At 43.4% G+C, this 18302-nt stretch overlaps 1 protein-coding gene and 1 long non-coding RNA gene across 3 annotated transcripts in view, besides 11 other annotated features; one reads left to right on the top strand and one right to left on the bottom strand.

Moving 5' to 3' along the window:
• LOC105375683 (uncharacterized) overlaps positions 1-1835 on the bottom strand; it is a 110442-nt gene extending 108607 nt beyond the window's left edge. The window contains exon 1 of the long non-coding RNA NR_168428.1: positions 1163-1835. This is a non-coding gene — a long non-coding RNA (uncharacterized LOC105375683). The remainder of the gene's footprint in view (positions 1-1162) is intronic.
• Positions 60-109: an enhancer, noted in NCBI's record as "active region_27757". NCBI's record gives its function as "activates an Ori minimal core promoter by ATAC-STARR-seq in GM12878 lymphoblastoid cells {active_cell/tissue: GM12878}" and the evidence as "EXISTENCE:reporter gene assay evidence [ECO:0000049][PMID:35858748]".
• Positions 210-319: an enhancer, noted in NCBI's record as "active region_27756". NCBI's record gives its function as "activates an Ori minimal core promoter by ATAC-STARR-seq in GM12878 lymphoblastoid cells {active_cell/tissue: GM12878}" and the evidence as "EXISTENCE:reporter gene assay evidence [ECO:0000049][PMID:35858748]".
• Positions 881-1150: an enhancer, noted in NCBI's record as "active region_27755". NCBI's record gives its function as "activates an Ori minimal core promoter by ATAC-STARR-seq in GM12878 lymphoblastoid cells {active_cell/tissue: GM12878}" and the evidence as "EXISTENCE:reporter gene assay evidence [ECO:0000049][PMID:35858748]".
• Positions 1301-1500: a silencer, noted in NCBI's record as "silent region_19440". NCBI's record gives its function as "represses an Ori minimal core promoter by ATAC-STARR-seq in GM12878 lymphoblastoid cells {active_cell/tissue: GM12878}" and the evidence as "EXISTENCE:reporter gene assay evidence [ECO:0000049][PMID:35858748]".
• Positions 1474-18302, top strand: part of UBR5 (ubiquitin protein ligase E3 component n-recognin 5) — a 160428-nt gene continuing 143599 nt past the window's right edge. For both annotated transcript variants that reach the window (NM_001282873.2, NM_015902.6), the window contains exon 1: positions 1474-2001. In NM_001282873.2, the coding sequence (NP_001269802.1) occupies positions 1940-2001 (62 nt within the window). In that variant the 5' untranslated portion in view covers positions 1474-1939. The remainder of the gene's footprint in view (positions 2002-18302) is intronic.
• Positions 1525-2303: an enhancer, noted in NCBI's record as "NANOG-H3K27ac-H3K4me1 hESC enhancer chr8:103424099-103424877 (GRCh37/hg19 assembly coordinates)". NCBI's record gives its function as "activates a minimal SCP1, AML or CMV promoter by ChIP-STARR-seq in primed H9 embryonic stem cells {active_cell/tissue: H9 hESC(primed)}" and the evidence as "EXISTENCE:reporter gene assay evidence [ECO:0000049][PMID:30033119]".
• Positions 1531-1610: a silencer, noted in NCBI's record as "silent region_19439". NCBI's record gives its function as "represses an Ori minimal core promoter by ATAC-STARR-seq in GM12878 lymphoblastoid cells {active_cell/tissue: GM12878}" and the evidence as "EXISTENCE:reporter gene assay evidence [ECO:0000049][PMID:35858748]".
• Positions 1671-2110: a silencer, noted in NCBI's record as "silent region_19438". NCBI's record gives its function as "represses an Ori minimal core promoter by ATAC-STARR-seq in GM12878 lymphoblastoid cells {active_cell/tissue: GM12878}" and the evidence as "EXISTENCE:reporter gene assay evidence [ECO:0000049][PMID:35858748]".
• Positions 2304-3082: an enhancer, noted in NCBI's record as "NANOG-H3K27ac-H3K4me1 hESC enhancer chr8:103423320-103424098 (GRCh37/hg19 assembly coordinates)". NCBI's record gives its function as "activates a minimal SCP1, AML or CMV promoter by ChIP-STARR-seq in primed H9 embryonic stem cells {active_cell/tissue: H9 hESC(primed)}" and the evidence as "EXISTENCE:reporter gene assay evidence [ECO:0000049][PMID:30033119]".
• Positions 2781-2860: an enhancer, noted in NCBI's record as "active region_27754". NCBI's record gives its function as "activates an Ori minimal core promoter by ATAC-STARR-seq in GM12878 lymphoblastoid cells {active_cell/tissue: GM12878}" and the evidence as "EXISTENCE:reporter gene assay evidence [ECO:0000049][PMID:35858748]".
• Positions 3193-3252: an enhancer, noted in NCBI's record as "active region_27753". NCBI's record gives its function as "activates an Ori minimal core promoter by ATAC-STARR-seq in GM12878 lymphoblastoid cells {active_cell/tissue: GM12878}" and the evidence as "EXISTENCE:reporter gene assay evidence [ECO:0000049][PMID:35858748]".
• Positions 9268-9377: a silencer, noted in NCBI's record as "silent region_19437". NCBI's record gives its function as "represses an Ori minimal core promoter by ATAC-STARR-seq in GM12878 lymphoblastoid cells {active_cell/tissue: GM12878}" and the evidence as "EXISTENCE:reporter gene assay evidence [ECO:0000049][PMID:35858748]".

Here is an 18302-nt window from a genome sequence, read left to right as displayed (position 1 = left end):
GAAAGTCATGAATTGGTTCCTTAGGGAAAAAAAAACAGACTTATTTGATTAAAAAAAATTTTTTTTTGAGATGGAGTCTCGTTCTGTTGCCCGGGCTGGAGTGCAGTGGCATGATCTCAGCTCACTGCAACTTGCCAGGTTCAAGCAAGTCTTCTGCCTCAGCTTCCTGAGTAGTGGGGTTTACAGGCGCGCACAGCCATGCCTGGCTAATTTTTGCATTTTTAGTAGAGATGGGGTTTCACCAAGTTGGCTAGGCTGGTCTCGAACTCCCAACCTCAGGTGATCCGACATCCTCGGCCTTCCAAAGTGCTGGGATTACAGGCGTGAGCCACTGTGCGCCGTGGCCAAAACTCTGAAAGTGTCTTATAGTAGAAACTCGGTATAAAAGATCCTATCTCGGCCAGGCGTGGTGGCTCAGGCCTGTAATCCCAGCACTTTGGGAGGCCGAGGCGGGTGGATCACCTGAGGTCAGGAGTTCGAGACCAGCCTGGCCAACATGGTGAAACCACATCTCTACTAAAAAAGAAATACAAAATTAGCCGGACGTGGTGACACATGCCTGTAATCCCAGCTACTCCATAGACTGAGACAGGAAAATCGCTTGAACCCGGGAGGCGGAGGTTGAGGTGAGCCGAGACCGCGCCATTGCACTCCAGCCTGGGCAACAAGAGCGAAACTCCGTCTCGGGGAAAAAAAAAAAAAAAATAATAATTTTCCGTTCTGATTCCACTGATCATAAATTGAACTCCTTTGTAGAACAGGTTTATCATCTTTCATTTAAAAGTAATAAAAAATCACGAATCATTTATATCAGGAAATTAGTGGAAATTTCCACATTTTGTCTTTGGGCATGTGATGGTGGTGAGGAAACTGGGGAGACCGAGGTAATAGAAGTTGCTGCAAAGCCAACTCCAGGATCCTACTATCTCCTTCTGGAAAGGCCCTTACATAATTTCCTTACTTTTCCAATAAAAGGCTGTATATGTCTTGCCCCTTAACTGATTTTACCAACTTCACCATAAATACAACTGCGGATGAAGGATGAGAAGCAACAAGAAACCCCTAAGGATCCGCCAAATAATTAGGGCTGCCCCAGGGGAATCCGAGCGAAAGAACACAAGAGCCCCTCTTCCTCCTCGCCTCCTCTGGGACACACACTTACCCTCCCTCCCGGCAGGTTAGCCCGCAGCCTCCTCCTTCCCTAACACGTGCTCTCCGGAACACTCACTCTGGAGACATCCCACCCCCGGCGGGGCTGGGCTCGGGAGCCGAACGGACCAATCGGCACGCGCCTTACAGCGTCGTGGCCCGACAACGTTGAGCAGCCCAATCGAGGGGGCCTTGCCGCCCGTTTCCCGGAGCCCCGCCTCTCGCCGCCGCGCCCCCGCCCGCCGGTCTCCTCCCTCCTCCTCCTCCCGTTTGCCCCTCCCCCGCCGCTCCGGAGCGGAGCCTGCGAGACGGAGAAACTGGGGCAGAAGTGAAGATGGCGGCGGCAGCTTCTCGCTAGTGACGCGCGGTGCGGGCTCATCTCCTTCCCCTCCTTCCTCACCTCCCCTAGTCCGGACCCCGTCCGCCGCCGGGACCAGACCGTCCCCGTAGCCCGCAGCCAGCAGCCGCCCCTCTCCTCCCCCGGCCGCCCCTCTCCCAACGCCCGTCTGCCGCTGGCCGGCGGCGCGCCCCTGGTCCCGGCCGCCTGCCTCGCACTCCGCGCTGTCGCCGGGGGAGCGGGTGGCGTGTGGATTCGCCCTCCTGCCCGCCCCTCCGGGCCGCGGACACACGCCCGGCAGGGAGGCGGCGGCGGCCCCTGCGTATTTGCTTCCCTCCATTTGGGGACTGGGAGGCGGCGGCGGCTGTGGGTTTTGGGGAGGGGTAGAGGGCTGGGGGGCGGGCGAGAGCGGGAGGGGGCCGCCCTCGAGTGGAGGACGAGAAGGAAAGCACCATGACGTCCATCCATTTCGTGGTTCACCCGCTGCCGGGCACCGAGGACCAGCTCAATGACAGGTAATAGGGCTGGCGGGTCGGCGGGCGCGGGGGGAGGGGCGCCCTTCCCTCCCTCCCCTCCCCCACGGGCCGTGCCGGGCGGGTGCGGGTGTTTACGCGCCGGCCGGCCAGCTGGGGTGGGGTGCGGGGGTCCTTACTGCCTCCTGCTAGGCTCCTTCCGGGGCAAACTTCTCATCCCGGGGGCAGGGGGCCGCGGGGGGAGCGCGGTGTAGACGGGACTCGCGGTGTAGACTGGAGAGCGCTCTGTAAACCCCCTTCCCCCTCCCGCAAGGAGCGGCGTTGAACTCGGCGGAGATGGGGGGGTGGTTTCTGGCTCCCGGGGGGCAGGCGGTAATTACTGCCCGGCCAAGGCCCGAGGAATCCATATTAGTCAAAGTTGAATTGAGACAGACAATGCGGATGGGGGATGGTGGAGGTAAAAAGAGAGGGAAGAGGAGAAGCGGGGCCAGGGGCCCCGGGGTGGGCTGGGCTGGGCTTGTCCCGGGCCCCCGGCAGCTGTGTCCGGTGGGGTGGTCTGGACCTGGGGATCCCGGGGTCGGGTTGGGGAGAGAAGCCGATTCCCGGCAGATTGCTGGGAGCGGGCGGGGGGTGGGGGGAAGGTGATAGTTGGGGGAGGGAGTGAGGGAGGAAGCGCCATGATTATTGTTATTATTATTAAATTTGAGCCCCTGCAGTGAGGTTTGCCTGCCCCGGGAGGGGATGGATTCAAGCGGGGGTGGGGAAGTGCATTGGATTCCCTTTACTCTCCTCCTGAAATGGTGCTGGCAGCTCCTGCTACTAGCCCCTGTGGTGCGAGCTTTTTTGTTTCCTTTTCTATTCTAATGATAGTGTTTTCCTGAGTTGTAATTTGACAGCTGAAAACCGTGCGTAGAGTGTCAAAGGAAAACTCTTACGTTTGCAGTTCGCAATGCTGCTTTTCTTAACACGCTGTAAATTTCTGGGTTGGGTTTGCTATGGGCGGAGGATGAATTATGATTTTATTTTATGTTTTGTCTTTTATAGGCTGTTTTGGTTTGGATTTCTCCTTTTCTTCCGCCACCGTTCCTTGCCAGTTTAGGATATTGAATTGCAGTGCCGCATGCTCTCAGGGAACTGAGATAAGGCAGGAAAAGTTCCTTCACTGTTGGAAAACAGACTCAGGAGGTTGAGGGAGGCCTCCATTAAAGCATGTCTTAGAATCTAAGACTCAGATCTAATGATGGGCTAAATGTTTACAGGATCACAAAGTGGAGCATTTTAAGTCTTCCTCTCTCCCAGTACTTCACTGCTCTCTACATTTCTTTTGCGTATAGAAGGCCATCTGGTCCCAAGTTTAGAAGTTACATAGAATTTTTGCTAAGTGACCGGGTGACTTAAGTTGCATGATGCCCTGTTTGTCATGCGCTTCCCAGAGGGAGGAAGAGGCCTAACTTGCTGCTGAGATACTGGCCTCTTGTGTCAGTGTATCTAACCGCCTCAAGTGGAGCAGACAGCTTTTAAATCCAGAGCTGGCGGTTTAGTTTCTGCACTTGGTTCGGATTTGCCTAATCTTTGCTGTAGCCATATTGTATTTAACATGTTTGGGAATCTTTTGAAATACTTACTGAAAATACTAACTACTCAGAGTTGTCACATAGTTCCTTTAAATTCTGAAATAACTTTTTAGTTATTTAACATTTTGTTATGTGGTTCTTAGCCTGACTTTACTTCATTAAAGATCTTTTGGAGACATTAACATAAAATTTTTTGGTAAAATTTAGAAACAGGCTAGTAGTGAGGATAGCTCTACGGTCATTAACAGAACCATGTTGGTAGTGCTTGTCTTGTTACTTAGAAAACCGCACCAGAGAGAAGAGAGGTAGGGCATGTTTTCTATATTAGTCCTAACTTTATGTACCAAGAAACCTGACTAGCTTACTCAGTTGGCTGTGCATGCCAAAACCTATTTTGCGGTTGTGTTGGGCACTTTGATTCATTTTTGAGCATTCCTTTTGCTTCAGCTATTTGAGAAATTTACAAGTAATGTATCTTTTTAAATGCTAACTCTTCTTTTTCCATTCCTAGTATAAACAATCAGCTTTGTTTGATTCTTCTATCATTATACAACATTAAAAATATTTAGATCATAGTGACTTTTAATTTCATGAAATTAGGAAAAAAGTAGACTTGAGTCATAACATGTGCATCAAGGTGGCAGATATTTGAAAAATAGAAAGGTGCCGTAGGTGAAATTATAAAGAGCTATATGGTTGTATCTAGTAGCGGTAAACATGTCTTGCCTTTTGAGATTTGTGAAGGCAGCATTTAAGATAGGCACATATCCTAAGTTTTGAAGTAGCTGATTTGTGGCAGGAGCTGTTCTGTGTTTCCCTTTCAAAAGGAGGGCTCCTTTTTGCATACCTACTTGTAATAGGATCAACCTGTCACTTGAGAAAAATCTGTTTCCAAAAGAGACTGGTTTTCTGGAACCTTTTAATTAACTAGAATAAGCGTATTTTCATCTAAAGATAAAAACTTTACCAAGTTTTAGTAAGTTGGGGCAATAAAAAAGCTACTGCTACTGTAGCTTGACTTTTTTTATTATGAGAAATGTATGAGAGTCACAAATAAAATGATAATCATAGTTATGTATGAAAAGGGTGTAAATAGACTTTATACTTTGGAATAAAAGTAGTAAGATTAGACAGGCAGAATGGTACTGCAAATAAATTGCTCAGCTGAAGAAAACTTGGTCCTCAAAACAGTAGTGTTTTCTTCAAATACGTTTTCTTTCTTTACCCACATCCTCTTAAAAAGTCAAATATTTTGTTCAGCATCATAGTCTGATGTCTCAAGTGTCTAAAATGTACAAAGCATAAAAAAGTATCTTTTTTTCATAATTTGTGTTTTCAGACTTGCCAATAATGAATAATAATGATGCCAGGATGAAATTGACAAATACAGGTGGGGATGGCTGGGGTGGAAAGAAGAGGATGTTGGCTGTGACTTCCCAGAATGATTACAAGGTGCCTGGCACAGAATGCTGGGCCCTCAAGCAAATATTCATTGAGCTGAATTGAAACCATTCAGTGCTCAGATACTTTGGACATTTTGATCTCCTTTCCAATGGATTTCTTGAGTTAGTACTACGTTCCTGCTTAAAACATTGTCTCAGAGAAACAGTAAAACAATATAAAGAATGTGGTTCGTCGAGCTTGAGGGGAGAGCTGAAAGGCCTGCCTCACTAATAGCCTGGAAAGTGCCTCACTAATGAGCTGAAAAAATAGGCACAGAGATTTACAGTGTTTATGCAGGGATACAACTACTGAGAGACAGCTGAGGTCCACCTGATGGGTCTTCTGACTTTTCTTTAAAGTCCAGGGCTCCATTCCACTTCACGTGGCTTGTATTCCAGAATGGTTCTGCTGTCTCAGACATCCCAGCCTTCAGGCAGTGTGGCCACCTGTCTTAGTGTTTTGATTCCGTTTTCCCCTCAACTGCTCTTTCCAGGGCTCCTAATGGGTTTATGCCTTTTTTTCAGAGGCTGACGCTCTTAACCTTTTCTTGGTACTAGGTTAGGATAGGTCTTCTTAAGGTGATGTGGTTATGGCATTTATTGTCCTTGTCCTGAATTATTCCTCAAGATGCAGGTTAGTTACGAAACAAACCAGTTCTTATTGCTTGTCTGTATGTGGAATTTTCCTGTGAGATTTGCCTTTTGGCATTACAACGTATTGTGCAGTCATAAACAGTCTTTATTGAGATTGTCATATCAAAAGGATTTTTCTCTAAGCTTAGAGTTTCCCTTTCAGGTGTCATAACACAAGGTAAGATACTATAGACAGGAGTTTCAAACTCTGCGCTGGTAGCCTAGTCATTTAACCTCTTAGAACCCCCCACATCAATCTCTGAATTAGGTGTAGCACTCTCCTCAAGGTCAGGGAGGAACAGTTGAGACAGTAGATGGGAAAAGATCAATATTATAATGTGGATTCTACGGAAAACATTACGAAGAGATGGTTACTTTTAACTTTTTACGTGTTGCCTGGTTTCCAGATAGCAAAGCAGGAACTCAAAAGAGTTGCCCTAGAATATCCTTAGCATTCAGAGCAGAATCGACTCTTAGTTCTAGATTAGTACTTCTCAGCTTGGTGTGATTTTGCACCCTCCACACACAACCCCCTCCCCTTATTGGGCAGTGTCTGGAGACATTTTTTATTGTCACAGCTGGGGCATTGCTACTGGCCTCTAGTGGATGGAGGCCAGAGATGCTGCTAAACATCCTATAATGCATAGGATAGCCCCCACAACAAAGAATTACGGGGTCCAAAATGTCAGTTGTGCTAAGGTTAAGGAAGCCCATCCTAGATGATCTTCAATGCATTTGGTTGTAAAAATAAGTGAAAATGACTTTTATGAAGAATATTTCAAGCAATATACGTTCTTTTTTTTTTTCTTTTTTGAGACACAGTTTTGCTTTGTCTCCTAGGCTGGAGGCAGTGGCCGGATCTCGGCTCAATGCAACGTCCACCTCCTGGGTTCAAGCGATTCTCCTTCCTCAGCCTCCCAAGTTACAGACGCATACCACTATGTCTGGCTAATTTTTGTATTTTTAGTAGAGATGGGGTTTCGTCATGTTGGCTAGGCTGCTCTTGAACCTAACCTCAGGTGATCCATCTGCCTCAGCCTACCAAAATGCTGGGATTACAGGCATGAGCCAATGTACCTGGCCGCAATATATATTCTTAATTTTTAAAACATGACTGTTTAAATTAAGATTAAGGCCCGGCCAGTGGCTCATGCCTGTAATCCCAGCACTTTGGGTGGCTGAGGCGGGCGAATCACTTGAGGTCAGGAGTTCGAGACCCCTTAGCCTGGCCAACATGGTGAAACCCCATCTCTACTAAAAATACAAAAATTAGCTGGGTGTGGTGGTGGACGCCTGTAATCCCAGCTACTCAAGAGGTTGAGGCAGGAGAATTGCTTGTGCCTGTGAGACAGAGCTTGAGCCCGTGAGGCAGAGGTTGCAGTGAGCCAAGATCGCGCCACTGCACTCCAGCCTGGGCGACAGAGCAAGACTCTGTCTCAAAAAAAAGGAAAAAAAAATTAATTAAGATTGATTAAAATTAAATAAAAATTTAAGTCACTTCATCTGTAGCTAGTCACATTTTAAGTGCACTGTAGTGCCACGTAGCTACTCACTACCACATTGGACAGTGCAAATACAGAGCAGTGCCATCATCACTGAAAGTTCTCTTGGATAGTGTTGGCATAGAAAGTGTGTTTTTGCACAAGTCTTGGCATTCAGTGAGTGCTCATTATGTTTATTAAGAACTTTGAGGTTTTAAAGACTCAGGCATATCTTCACTCAGTAGGAGCCAGAAAATATGCCAGGGATTATATGAAGCATAACAAAGGTTGTGGTGAGTAGAGGTTATAATAGTTGAAAGCTGCTTGAAATTTTATTGTGGTGCACCAAAAAACAAAAAAACAAAAAAATCAATAAAAAAACCCCCCAGACATTAGGTTGTGTGGGATGGAGCATCATATTACCAAATCAGTGAAAAATCTCACCATTTGATTATTGAGATTGTTACCTAAAAGCAATACTAAATGCATTATGCCAGGTGCGGTGGCTCATGCCTGTAATCCCAGCACTTTGGGAGGCTGAGGTGGGCGGATCATCTGAGGTCAGAAGTTTGAGACCAGCCTGGCCAACATGGTGAAACCCCATCTCTACTAAAAATACAAAAATTAGCTGGGCATGGTGGTGCATGCCTGTAGTTGCAGCTACTCAAGAGGCTGAGGCAGGAGAATTGCTTGAACCTGGGAGGTGGAGGTTGCAGTGAGCCAAGATTGCGCCACTGCACTCCAGCTTGGGTGACAGAGCGAGACTCCATCTCAAAAACAAAAACAAAACCAAAAACAAACAATAAAAAACCAATACTAGATTTATTGTATTGGAAAAGTACAGTCTGGCCTAACTAAAATGTTTAAATGAATTTGCTTAAGTAAGATTAACAGCAGGGTGTAGAATAGCCAAGCAAAATAGAAAATCAAAACAAAGGCAGAGCAATTTTATAAATCAGGATATCTGTGACTGAATCATAGGCCTAGGAATAAACAGACACTTGTGAAGAAAATTACAGGATACACAGGAATACGACTAGGAATAATAGGTGAAATTAGGAAAGGTCAGGGTTTTTTCCCCTAACAATTAGACCATTAGGTTATTTAGGAAATAGTTTCCAAAGGAAAATTTAATTGCTGAAGACTGAGTTACATGGACGTAGATCTTATAAGGTATATTAAAGGAAGCAATTTTATGTTACAGGAGGATGTACTTAATGTCTCCCCTCCCTCATTTTATCATACATATTTATTTTGTTTTTTGAGTCTCGCTCTTGCCCACGCTGGAATGCAGTGGTGCCATTTTGGCACAATCTTGGCTCACTGCAACCTCCGCCTCCCGGGTTCAAGCGATTCTGCTGCCTCAGCCTCCTGAGTAGCTGGGAGTACAGGCGCACGCCACCATACCTGGCTAATTTTTGTATTTTTAGTAGAGATGGGGTTTCACCGTGTTGATCACGCTGGTCTTGAACTCCTGACCTCGTGATCTGCCCACCTAGGCCTCCCAAAGTGTTGGGATTACAGGCGGGAGCCACTGCGCTCGCCCATATTATACATATTTCTAATTAAGAAAACAGACTCTAGTTAGCATCCATGTTTCTGTCATTTTGACTCCTTGGCATTCTGGTCATGTGAAAATAGCCTCTTCTCTTGGCTCACTGTGGTTATGAATTGTTGGTTTATTTTTAGAACTGGTTTTTAAGTTTTCCCCTGAGTATTATTTTTAAGCCTTTTATTTTGGAAAATTTTAAGCATATACAAGAGTAGAGAGAATAGTATGATGAACAACCATGTTCCCATCACACAGTCTTAACAGTTGTCAACTCATGGCCAATCTGATTTCAACTCTCTCCCCATTTATTCTCCTCTATCAGGTAATTTAATTGCTGTATCTTCACTATATATTTCAAAATATGAAGCCTTTAAAAAAAAACCTGAAAAAACCTTAATAACAAAATTGCCCAGATTTTCCTGTTGTCTCATAAATGCTTATTTCTGATTGACAATTTTGATAATTTTACTTAATAAAGCTGATTGGGTTCTAACATGTTAAAAAATTTGACATTTGTAGAATAACCTTAGAATTTGGATTGTAACCTTAGAAGAAGGGGCCACTGGGGAATTATTTAGTTCCTTAAAGCTCAGTGCTGTAACTTTTTTTTTTTTTTTTTTTTTTTGAGATGGAGTTTCGCTCTTGTTGCCCAGGCTCGAGTGCAGTGGCGTGATCTCTGCTCACTGCAACTTCCGCCTCCCGGGTTCAAGTGATTCTCCTGCCTCAGCTTCCCAAGTGGCTGAGATTATAGGTGTGAGCCACCACGCCTGGCTAATTTTGTATTTTTAGTGGAGACGGGGTTTGACCATGTTGGTCAGGCTGGTCTCGAACTCCCGACCTCAGGTGTTCACCTGCCTTAGCCTCCCAGGGTGTTGGGATTACAGGCGTGAGCCACTGTGCCAGGCCTCAGTGCTATAACTTCTTAACCTCCGGTATGACAGCATTTTTTGTCAGCAGTCACTTGTAATTGTTAGATAAGGATGATAAGACAGGATTCTTGAAATTCAGTGATTTTTCCATGGGGTCACTTTGAGAAATAAGATTGTCATGTGAAAAGTTTGCAGCATTTTCATGAACTAATAGACAGGTGAGGTATTAGTCAATTGAACTTGGCTATAAGAAATTATTCTCTGAGATCATATTTCTTATTACTTTCTTGAGACAATCAGTGTAGTGGTAACAAAACCCCTTCCAAATTAGAAATACGATAAATTCTTAGATAACCATGCTTTGTAACATTGTCATTTTGTCAGGATATTAAAGAAGGTATTAATATTTAATGTTATTTTACTTGTAAATACACAATTTATGTTACTTGCACAGCTAAAGTACTGTTATTTGTTCAATTTCTGACAGTATCACTTAATAAAATGTCTTTGACTCTTTCATCTTTATTGAGTTATACTTTACATTCAGTAAAATTAACCCATTTTAGGTGTACAGTTTGATGAATTTCGGCAAATGTGTACAGTTGTGTAATCACCACCACAATCCAGGTACAGGACATTTTCATCACCCCAAAAAGTTACCTGGTTTCCCTTTGTATTTTCAGTCACTTCCCCCTAGGCTAGGTCCTGGCTACCTAGCAACCATTGTTCTGCTTTCTCTCACTGTAATGCTTTTCCTTTTTGAATTTCATAGAAATGGAATCATGTGTCTGTTTTCTTTTGCTTAGAACAGTGCTTTTGCAACAGATCTGTGTTGCAGCATGTAGTAGTTTCTTCTTTTATATTAAAAGTAGTATTTTCATTGCTTGACCTGGGAAGGTGGAGGTTGCAGTGAATCAAGATTGTGTCATTGAATTCCAGCCTGGGCAACAGAGTGAGACTCTGTCTCAAAACAAACAAAAAAAGTAGTACTTATTTCATGACTGTACCACAGTTTTTAAATCTGCTTTCTAGCTGATATAAATTTGGGTAGTTTACTCTTTCTAGCTATTCTCTAGTCTTTATTTTTTTCTTGTTTATTTATTATTTTAATTTTTTTTGAGACAGGCTCTTGCGCTATTGCCCAGGCTGGAGTGTAGTGATGTGAACATGGCTCACTGCAGCCTTGACCTTCTGGGCTCAAGCGATCCTCCTGCCTCAGCCTCCTGAGTATCTGGGACTACAGGCTTGCATTACCACATCTGGCTAATTTTTAATTTTTTGTAGAGATGGAGTCTCTCTGTGTTGCCCAGGCTGGTCTCGAACTCCTGGGCTCAAGCAATTATCCCGTCTCAGCCTCTCCAAGGTGCTGGGATTACAGGCATGAACCACTGTGCCTCGCCTTATTTATTTCTTTAAAATTAGAGACATGGTCTTGCTGTGTTGCCTAGGCTGGTCTCAGACTCCTGGCCTCAAGCTGTCTTCCCACCTTGGCCTCCCAAAATGCTGGGATTACAGGCAGGAGACACCATGGCTGGCCTGAAGTTTTTCTTGGCTTCAATTTATCACAATGTTTTTCATAGGAAAAGTCCACTGATAATAAAAACCTAGATTTTTCTTGACAGCAAATTTTTGTGTTAATTAAAAAACATACTAGTATATGTAAAAAGATTATATTTTAGAATTCCATTAAATGTAATGGTTGTATTCTAGATTGCTAGTTATAAAGATGATGATAGTGGCTAGTCGACAAAGCACTGTGATGAATGGATCAGTAGATAAGTTTTTATTTTCTTCCCCATGAGTTCAGGCTCCATTTCTGTGATATAGAAGTGTCGAGAACCTGCCGTTTCAAGAAATTGGCTCTGCTCCAGCATGAATCTGCTGTTCAGAATTCAGGCGATGAGGTATTCCAGGTCTTTACTTGAATTCAGATACCAGGTCTACCTCACAGACAACCTGGAACTCCAGAGATGGCCTTAACTGTGTCTCCAAGACTCTTACTTAGGGACATGGTGGAAATTCATTTGGGTGTTTTCCGTGACAGCCTCCTTGTTATGAAGTGAGAAGTGGAGGAAGATGGTTTTTTAAGCCTTAAGAAAAGCTAAATTTGAGATTAGGAAGTTAATTTGATGGAGAAAGCTAAGAAAGCCCAGACAATATGGTAGGGTTATTTTAATTTCTAAATGATGAAAACAGAGTTTTATATGGAAGGCTTTGGGGAGAGGGGTATTAGATTGTTCAGCTGATTATCTGTTCTCTTATGTTGTAGTAGTGGCTTTGTTTCTTGTCCAGAAGTAATTCGAACTTGTCCAATTATTGCTCTGTAACATCATCTGCCTCTACAAACCCTGCTTTAAGTCTTTTAAGGAAGCATCAGCAATCAAACGATTTTTATGAAATTGTGGGTGAGTGTAGTTTATAAACATTCATTCTCTTTCTCTTTTTTTTGAGACAAGGTCTCACTCTGTCACTCAGGCTGGAGTGCAGTGATGCAATATTGGCTCACTGCAATCTCAATCTCCCAGGCCCAGGTAGTTCTCCCACCTCAGCTTCCCTAGTAGCTGGGACTACAGGTGCGTGCCACCACACCTGGCTAATTTTTGTGTTTTTCATAGAGATGGGGTTTCAGCATGTTGCCCAGGCTGGTCTCAAACTCTGACACTCAAGTGATTCTCCTGCCTCAGCCCCCAAAGTGCTTGGATTATAAGCATGAGCCACCATGCCTGGCTAAACATTCATTCTCTTAATAGGCTTATATTTCTAGTGATGTTTAAACTTGTCTTCATCTCCAGGAAATCCTTAGGTGTTTTCCTTAAGTGATTGTGTTTTTTCTGCTTATCAGGTATTCTGATTATTACATGTAGATTAGAGAATAATTGAGTAGGGGGAGTATGGGCAGTGGGACCTTTTGTTTCTGTAGTTGTTTTTTGGGGGAAGTACTTTTTTTTTTTTGCCTCCTATAGTCGCCAATAGAAGATTAACCCAAATTCCTGCTACCTGAGACGATTCCTGGTAGGATTTTGTCACTGCCTAGGGGATGCAGAAACAGAAATGAGTGACTTCTGTAGTGTAGGTTGGCAGGCCATGGTTTGCAGGTCAGAGATGACATGTGGACTGATTTTGTTGGCATCTGTTCATCTTTCTGCTACTTTTGAGAGCTGAGAGCTACTGAAGAGTACATACGACACTTGCCTGCAGAGACAGGAGTCAGTACTGTAGTACAGTACAGGAATTAGCAGCCACCCCATACCATCCCTGAATGTTTCTGGTTTCATGAAACTCTAGAGTGGCAGGGACTCGAGGACAGTTGGTATTTTGCTTTTCTCTAGGGTCTCTCTGCTCTTCAGAGGGCTCTGGGAATGTAAAAGCTTCTTCAATTGACATGTAGATTCAGTCTTTGTCTTCCTTTGGTCAATTTTAAGACATTATTGAGAGGTAATAGCATTTTTTGGGGATCGGGGACATGATATGGTTAAGCTTTTTTAAAGTAGAAGGTTTTTCGGACAGTTGAATTGAAATTATTGTATGAGTAACATAACCTAGTCAAATTGTAGTAAAATCATGGATTGTGGTGGCTTTTCCCAGTTAGGAGGTCTCTTGATTTAAAACAGTGCTTCTCATGGGATGGACCGTCATCAGGAGCAGCAAAACTTGAAGACCACTGAGTAAAAAGGCTCTTTTACCCTCTTTTCTTTGTCTTAACATTGATTGATGATGGCAAATAGGGCCAAACTTGCCAGTTCTTCACTGCCTCCAACCTTCCTTTTCCCCTTAGACTTACAGGTTTTATACCTGTCTGTTTGAGAATAGGGTATTTTCCTGTTCCTTGATTTTGTGTGTCTCTCTCTAAGCTAGAGTAGTTTATTTTTGTTCGCTTCTTTTTTTTTAACCACGAAATTGGAAAAATTTAGATTAAGTTACATAAATTCTAGGTCCTCTACACAACTGTGAGATACTGAAAGGATAGCTTTTTAAAATGCATTTCGGTGCTTGTAAGGTCACAGTCTAGTTGGGAGAAATGAGGCTCATCCATAGATAGTAGCACTATGAAAGACTGCTACAAGAGGTAGAGTTTGGGCTGTGTAAATATTTGCCATGCTATTGCTTGCACAGAGTTTGAGAACAGTGTTAGATTAGTTTTTCTTGTTGAGTAAATGCTTGTGTGCTTCTCATGTGCAAAAAGTGTGCTAGGCCAGGGATAGCTGGTGTGTTTCAATTGCCACACCAAACCGTCCTGAAACTTCGGGTTGAGACGTGTTTGGAACTTTTTCTGGCTCAGGGAGAAAGCTTGGAGAAGAGTGAGGTTATAGATTAGCGAGCTCAGGGAGTGGCATCAGGTGGGTATGCCATGTATTGTTTTTCTACCTTTCTTTTTTTTTGAGACAGGGTCTTGCTGTGTTGCCTAGGCTGATCTTGAACTCCTGGGCTCAAGCAACCCTCTTGCCTCAGCTTCCTGAGTAGCTGGGATTACAGACAAGTAGCTAGGATTACAGGTGAGTGCCACTGCACCTAGCTTGTTTTTCTAACCTTTTATTTTGAAATAATTACAGACTCAAAAGAAGATGCAAAATTGGTACAGAGGGGTACCATGGATCCATCACCCAACTTCCTTCAATGGTAACATATTATGCCAGATATTTTTGGCATCCATGTCAAAATACTAGAGATAGAGACATTTTCCCCATGTGCATTTTTGATTTTTTTTTTTTTTTTTTTTTGAGACAGAGTCTTGCTCTGTCACCCAGGGTGGAGTGCAGCGGTGCCATCTCGGCTCACTGCAACCCCCACCTCCTGGGTTCAAGCAATTCTCCTGCCTCAGCCTCCTGAGTAGCTGGGACTACAGGCGCCTGCCACCACGCCCAGCTAATTTTTTGTAATTTTAGTAGAGACTGGGTTTCACCATGTTGGCCAGGCTGGTCTCGAACTCCTGACCTCGTGATCCACCCGCTTTGGCCTCCCAAAGTGTTCGGATTACAGGTGTGAGCCACTGCACCCAGCCAAAAATTGTTTAAGATAACATAGATTTGAAGACATAGTTTAAAGAAAACTTTGCCTTTTTAGATGTGATTGTAAATTGATGAGATATAGGCTGGGCATAATGGCTCACGCCTGTAATCTCAGCACTTTGGGAGGCCGAAGCTGGCTGATCACCTGAGGTCAGGAGTTCGAGACCAGCACGGCCAATGTGGCGAAACCCTGTCTTTTTACTAAAAGTACAAAAATAAGCCGGGCATGATGGTGAGCACCTGTAATCCCAGCTACTTAGGAGGCTGAGGCAGGAGAATCACTTGAACCTGGGAGGTGGAGGTTGCAGTAAGCCGAGATCGCGCCATTGCACTCTAGCCTGGGCGACAGAGTGAGACTCCGTCTCAAAAAAAAAAAAAAATTTGATGAGATAATATATATTATGTAGTGATTTAAATTTTTAGACAGTCTGATGTGGTGGTAGATAGAATGTAAGTTGGAGTAAGCAGGATCGTGAATTTGTTCTTTGTATCCGACACTAACTGGCCATATGATGATATGACCTTGAGTAAATGATACAACTCATTTGTAAAATGAGAGAGTTGGGCTAGATCATTTGGTCTTTTTTTAACTCCTGTTTCCATGCCCTTGTGATTGTGGTAGGGAATAGCTTTTTTTCATCATATACCTGTTTGCCATTTATATGTCTTTTGGGAAATGTCTATTCAGACCTTTTGCTCATTTTTAATTAGATTATTAGATTTTTTCTTGTAGAGTTGTTTGAGCTCCTTAGATATTCTCATTATTAATCCCTTATCAGGTGGATAGTTTGTAAATATTTTCTCCCATTTTGTGTATTGTCTCTTCACTTGGTGGATTGTTTTCTTTGCTTTGCAGAGCTTTATATTTTTATTTTTTGAGATGGAGTCTTGCTCTGTTGCCCAGGCTAGAGTGCAGTGGCGCGATCTCGCCTCACTGCAACCTCTACCTCCTGGGTTCAAGTGATTCTCCTGCCTTAGCCTCCCGAGTACCTGGGATTACAGGCGCCCACCACCATGCCCGGCTAATTTTTGTATTTTTAGTAGAGACAGGGTTTGACCATGTTGGCCAGACTTGTCTTGAACTCCTGACCTTGTGATCCAGCCTCCTTGGCCTCCCAAAGTGCTGGGATTACAGGCATGAGCCACCACGCCCAGCCTGCAGAAGCTTTTTAACTTGACGTGATCCCATTTGTCCATTTTTACTTTAGTTGCTTGTGCTTGTAGGGTATTACTCAAGAAGTCTTTGCCCAGTCCAGTGTCCTGGAGAGTTTTCCCAGTTTTTTGGGGGGAAATTTCAAACTTTGAGCTCTTAGATTTAAGTTTAATGCATTTCAGTTTGATTTCTGAGTATGGTGAGAGACAGAGGTCTAGTTTTATTCTTCTGCATATGGACATCCGATTCTCTGAGCACCATTTATTGAAGAGACTGTTTTTTCCCCAGTATATGTTCTTGGCACCTTTGTTGAAAATGAGTTCACTGTAAATGTATGGATTTGTTTTTGGGTTCTCGTTTCTGTTCCATTGGTCTGTGTGTCTGTTTTTATGCCAGTACCATGCTTTTTTGGTTACTATAGCTCTGTAGTATAGTTTGAAGTCAGGTAATGTGATTCCTCCAATTTTGTTATTTTGCTCAGGATAACTTTGGCTATTTTGGGTCTTCTGTGGTTCCATATAAATTTTAGGATTGTATTTTCTATTTCTGTGAAGAATGTCATTGGTGTTTTGATAGAGATTGCATTGAATGTATAGATTGCTTTGGGTAGTATAGACATTTAACAATACTGATTCTTCCAATCCATGAACATGGAATATTTGGAAAAGGGTTTTTATATTATAGAATTACTTGGAGAAAGAACTGTGAATCTATGATTGTCCATGATTTCTTTTACTTAATTATGTTGATGAATGGAAAATAAGTGAACAAGGGAAGTGGGAAAAAGATTTTTTTTTGTTTGTTTGTGGTAGAGTTTCGCTCTTGTAGCCCAGGGTGGAGTGCAATGGCAATCTCGGCTCACTGCAACCTCCACCTCCTGGGTTCAAGCAATTCTCCTGCCTCAGCCTCCCGAGTAGCTGGGATTACAGGCGCCCGCCACCATGCCTGGCTAATTTTTTGTATTTTTAGTAGAGACGGGATTTCGGCATATTGGCCAGGCTGGTCTCGAACTCCTGACTCCTGACCTCAGGTGATCCATCTGCCTTGGCCTCCCAAAGTACTGGGATTACGGGCGTGAGCCACCGCACCAGGCTAGATTTTTATTCTTTAACTCAGTACAACAAATACTTTGCCAGCTAACCTGTGTATACACTGGAATACAAAGATGGCTGGCCTCTGCCCTCATGGAGCTTTCAGTTTGATGAGGAGACAGACATGTAAAGAAGGAATTAAGTGCTAATTGATATATAAGTGATAGGGAAGAAGGATCTAATGGTTGTGTAGGAAAGACTTTGAAGACTAGGTTGCAGGATGTGGGGACTGGTTTATCCTCTTCAGTTTTCTTGAGCTGGGTGAATTTTGGTTTATAGGCATTGATGGAGGGAAGATAGGATATCTGAGCCTTGCAGAGAGTCTTTTTGCTCATTGTGCACAGGCTGGGATTGACTATGTGGCCTCTTCAAATGCTGTTCTCACAGAGATACTTAAAAATGAGACCAGGCCGGGCGTGGTGGCTCACGCCTGTAATCCCAGCACTTAGGGAGGCCGAGATGGGCAGATCACGAGGTCAGGAGATCGAGACCATCCTGGCCAACAAAGTGAAACTCCGTCTCTACTAAAAATACAAAAAAATTTGCTGGGCATGGTGGCGTGTGCCTGTAATCCCAGCTACTTGGGAGGCTGAGGCAGGAGAATCGCTTGAACCGGGGAGTCGGAGGTTGCAGTGAGCCGAGATCGCGCCACTGCAGTCCAGTCTGGTGACAGAGCGAGACTCTGTCTCAAGAAAAAAAAAAATATATATATATATGTGTGTGTGTGTGTGTGTATATATATATATATGTGTGTGTGTGTGTGTATATATATATGTGTGTATATATATATATTTGAATTTAGATATATCTGTTAAGTTTTGTAATAAAATTTTATCTATCTTTGGAAAGTTTGTTTTATGATATTGACACTAATTATCAAGCAATTCCTGCAGAATTTGAAGAGTGATACTGTGTATCCGAAAGATACTGTGTACCTACCACAGACAGGCCCTATGGAAGACAGCTCTGAGAACTGGAAAGACTGTAGAGTTGGAGTTAGGAGGCTTGGTCATTCCACTAAACAGTCACATAGTCATTTTCATGCAGTGAGTTTCATTTTACTCATTTGTAAGATGAGGAGGTGTATTTAATGTCTGAAAGTTCATTTCAGCCTTGAATCTGTGTGACTGTAGAGCTATAGATACTGTTTTATGAGTTACATTTGATATATGTTGGCCAGTTCTGCCATTTTAAGGTTTGATTCTTATTTCCTGCCTCAGACCTGCTCTTCTGCTTTTTTTGTACTTACTCTAATAGGTATTTAGGAGTAGTGGGCAGAAAATAGAGCTTTCTAAGCTCTTGCCGTCTGGTTAGTTTAACTGAAGAGGAGCTCTTAAAAAACATGCCCAGGTCTTCTGTATTGCTCCCCCACCCCTTCCCCCTTTATTTGATTTTATTTTTGACATGGAGTCTCACTCTGTCACTCAGGCAGGAGTGCAGCTTTATCAAGTATATGATAAAGCAAAAGCACATTGATGATGGCATATCACCTTCTGAGTTTGAAAATGTTTGTTTACCTTTGATTTCTAATGGATTAAGAGT

This window comes from Homo sapiens, chromosome 8 (genome assembly GCF_000001405.40).
Source record: "Homo sapiens chromosome 8, GRCh38.p14 Primary Assembly".
NCBI lineage: Eukaryota > Metazoa > Chordata > Mammalia > Primates > Hominidae > Homo > Homo sapiens.
This window is presented reverse-complemented; position numbering and strand designations above follow the sequence as displayed.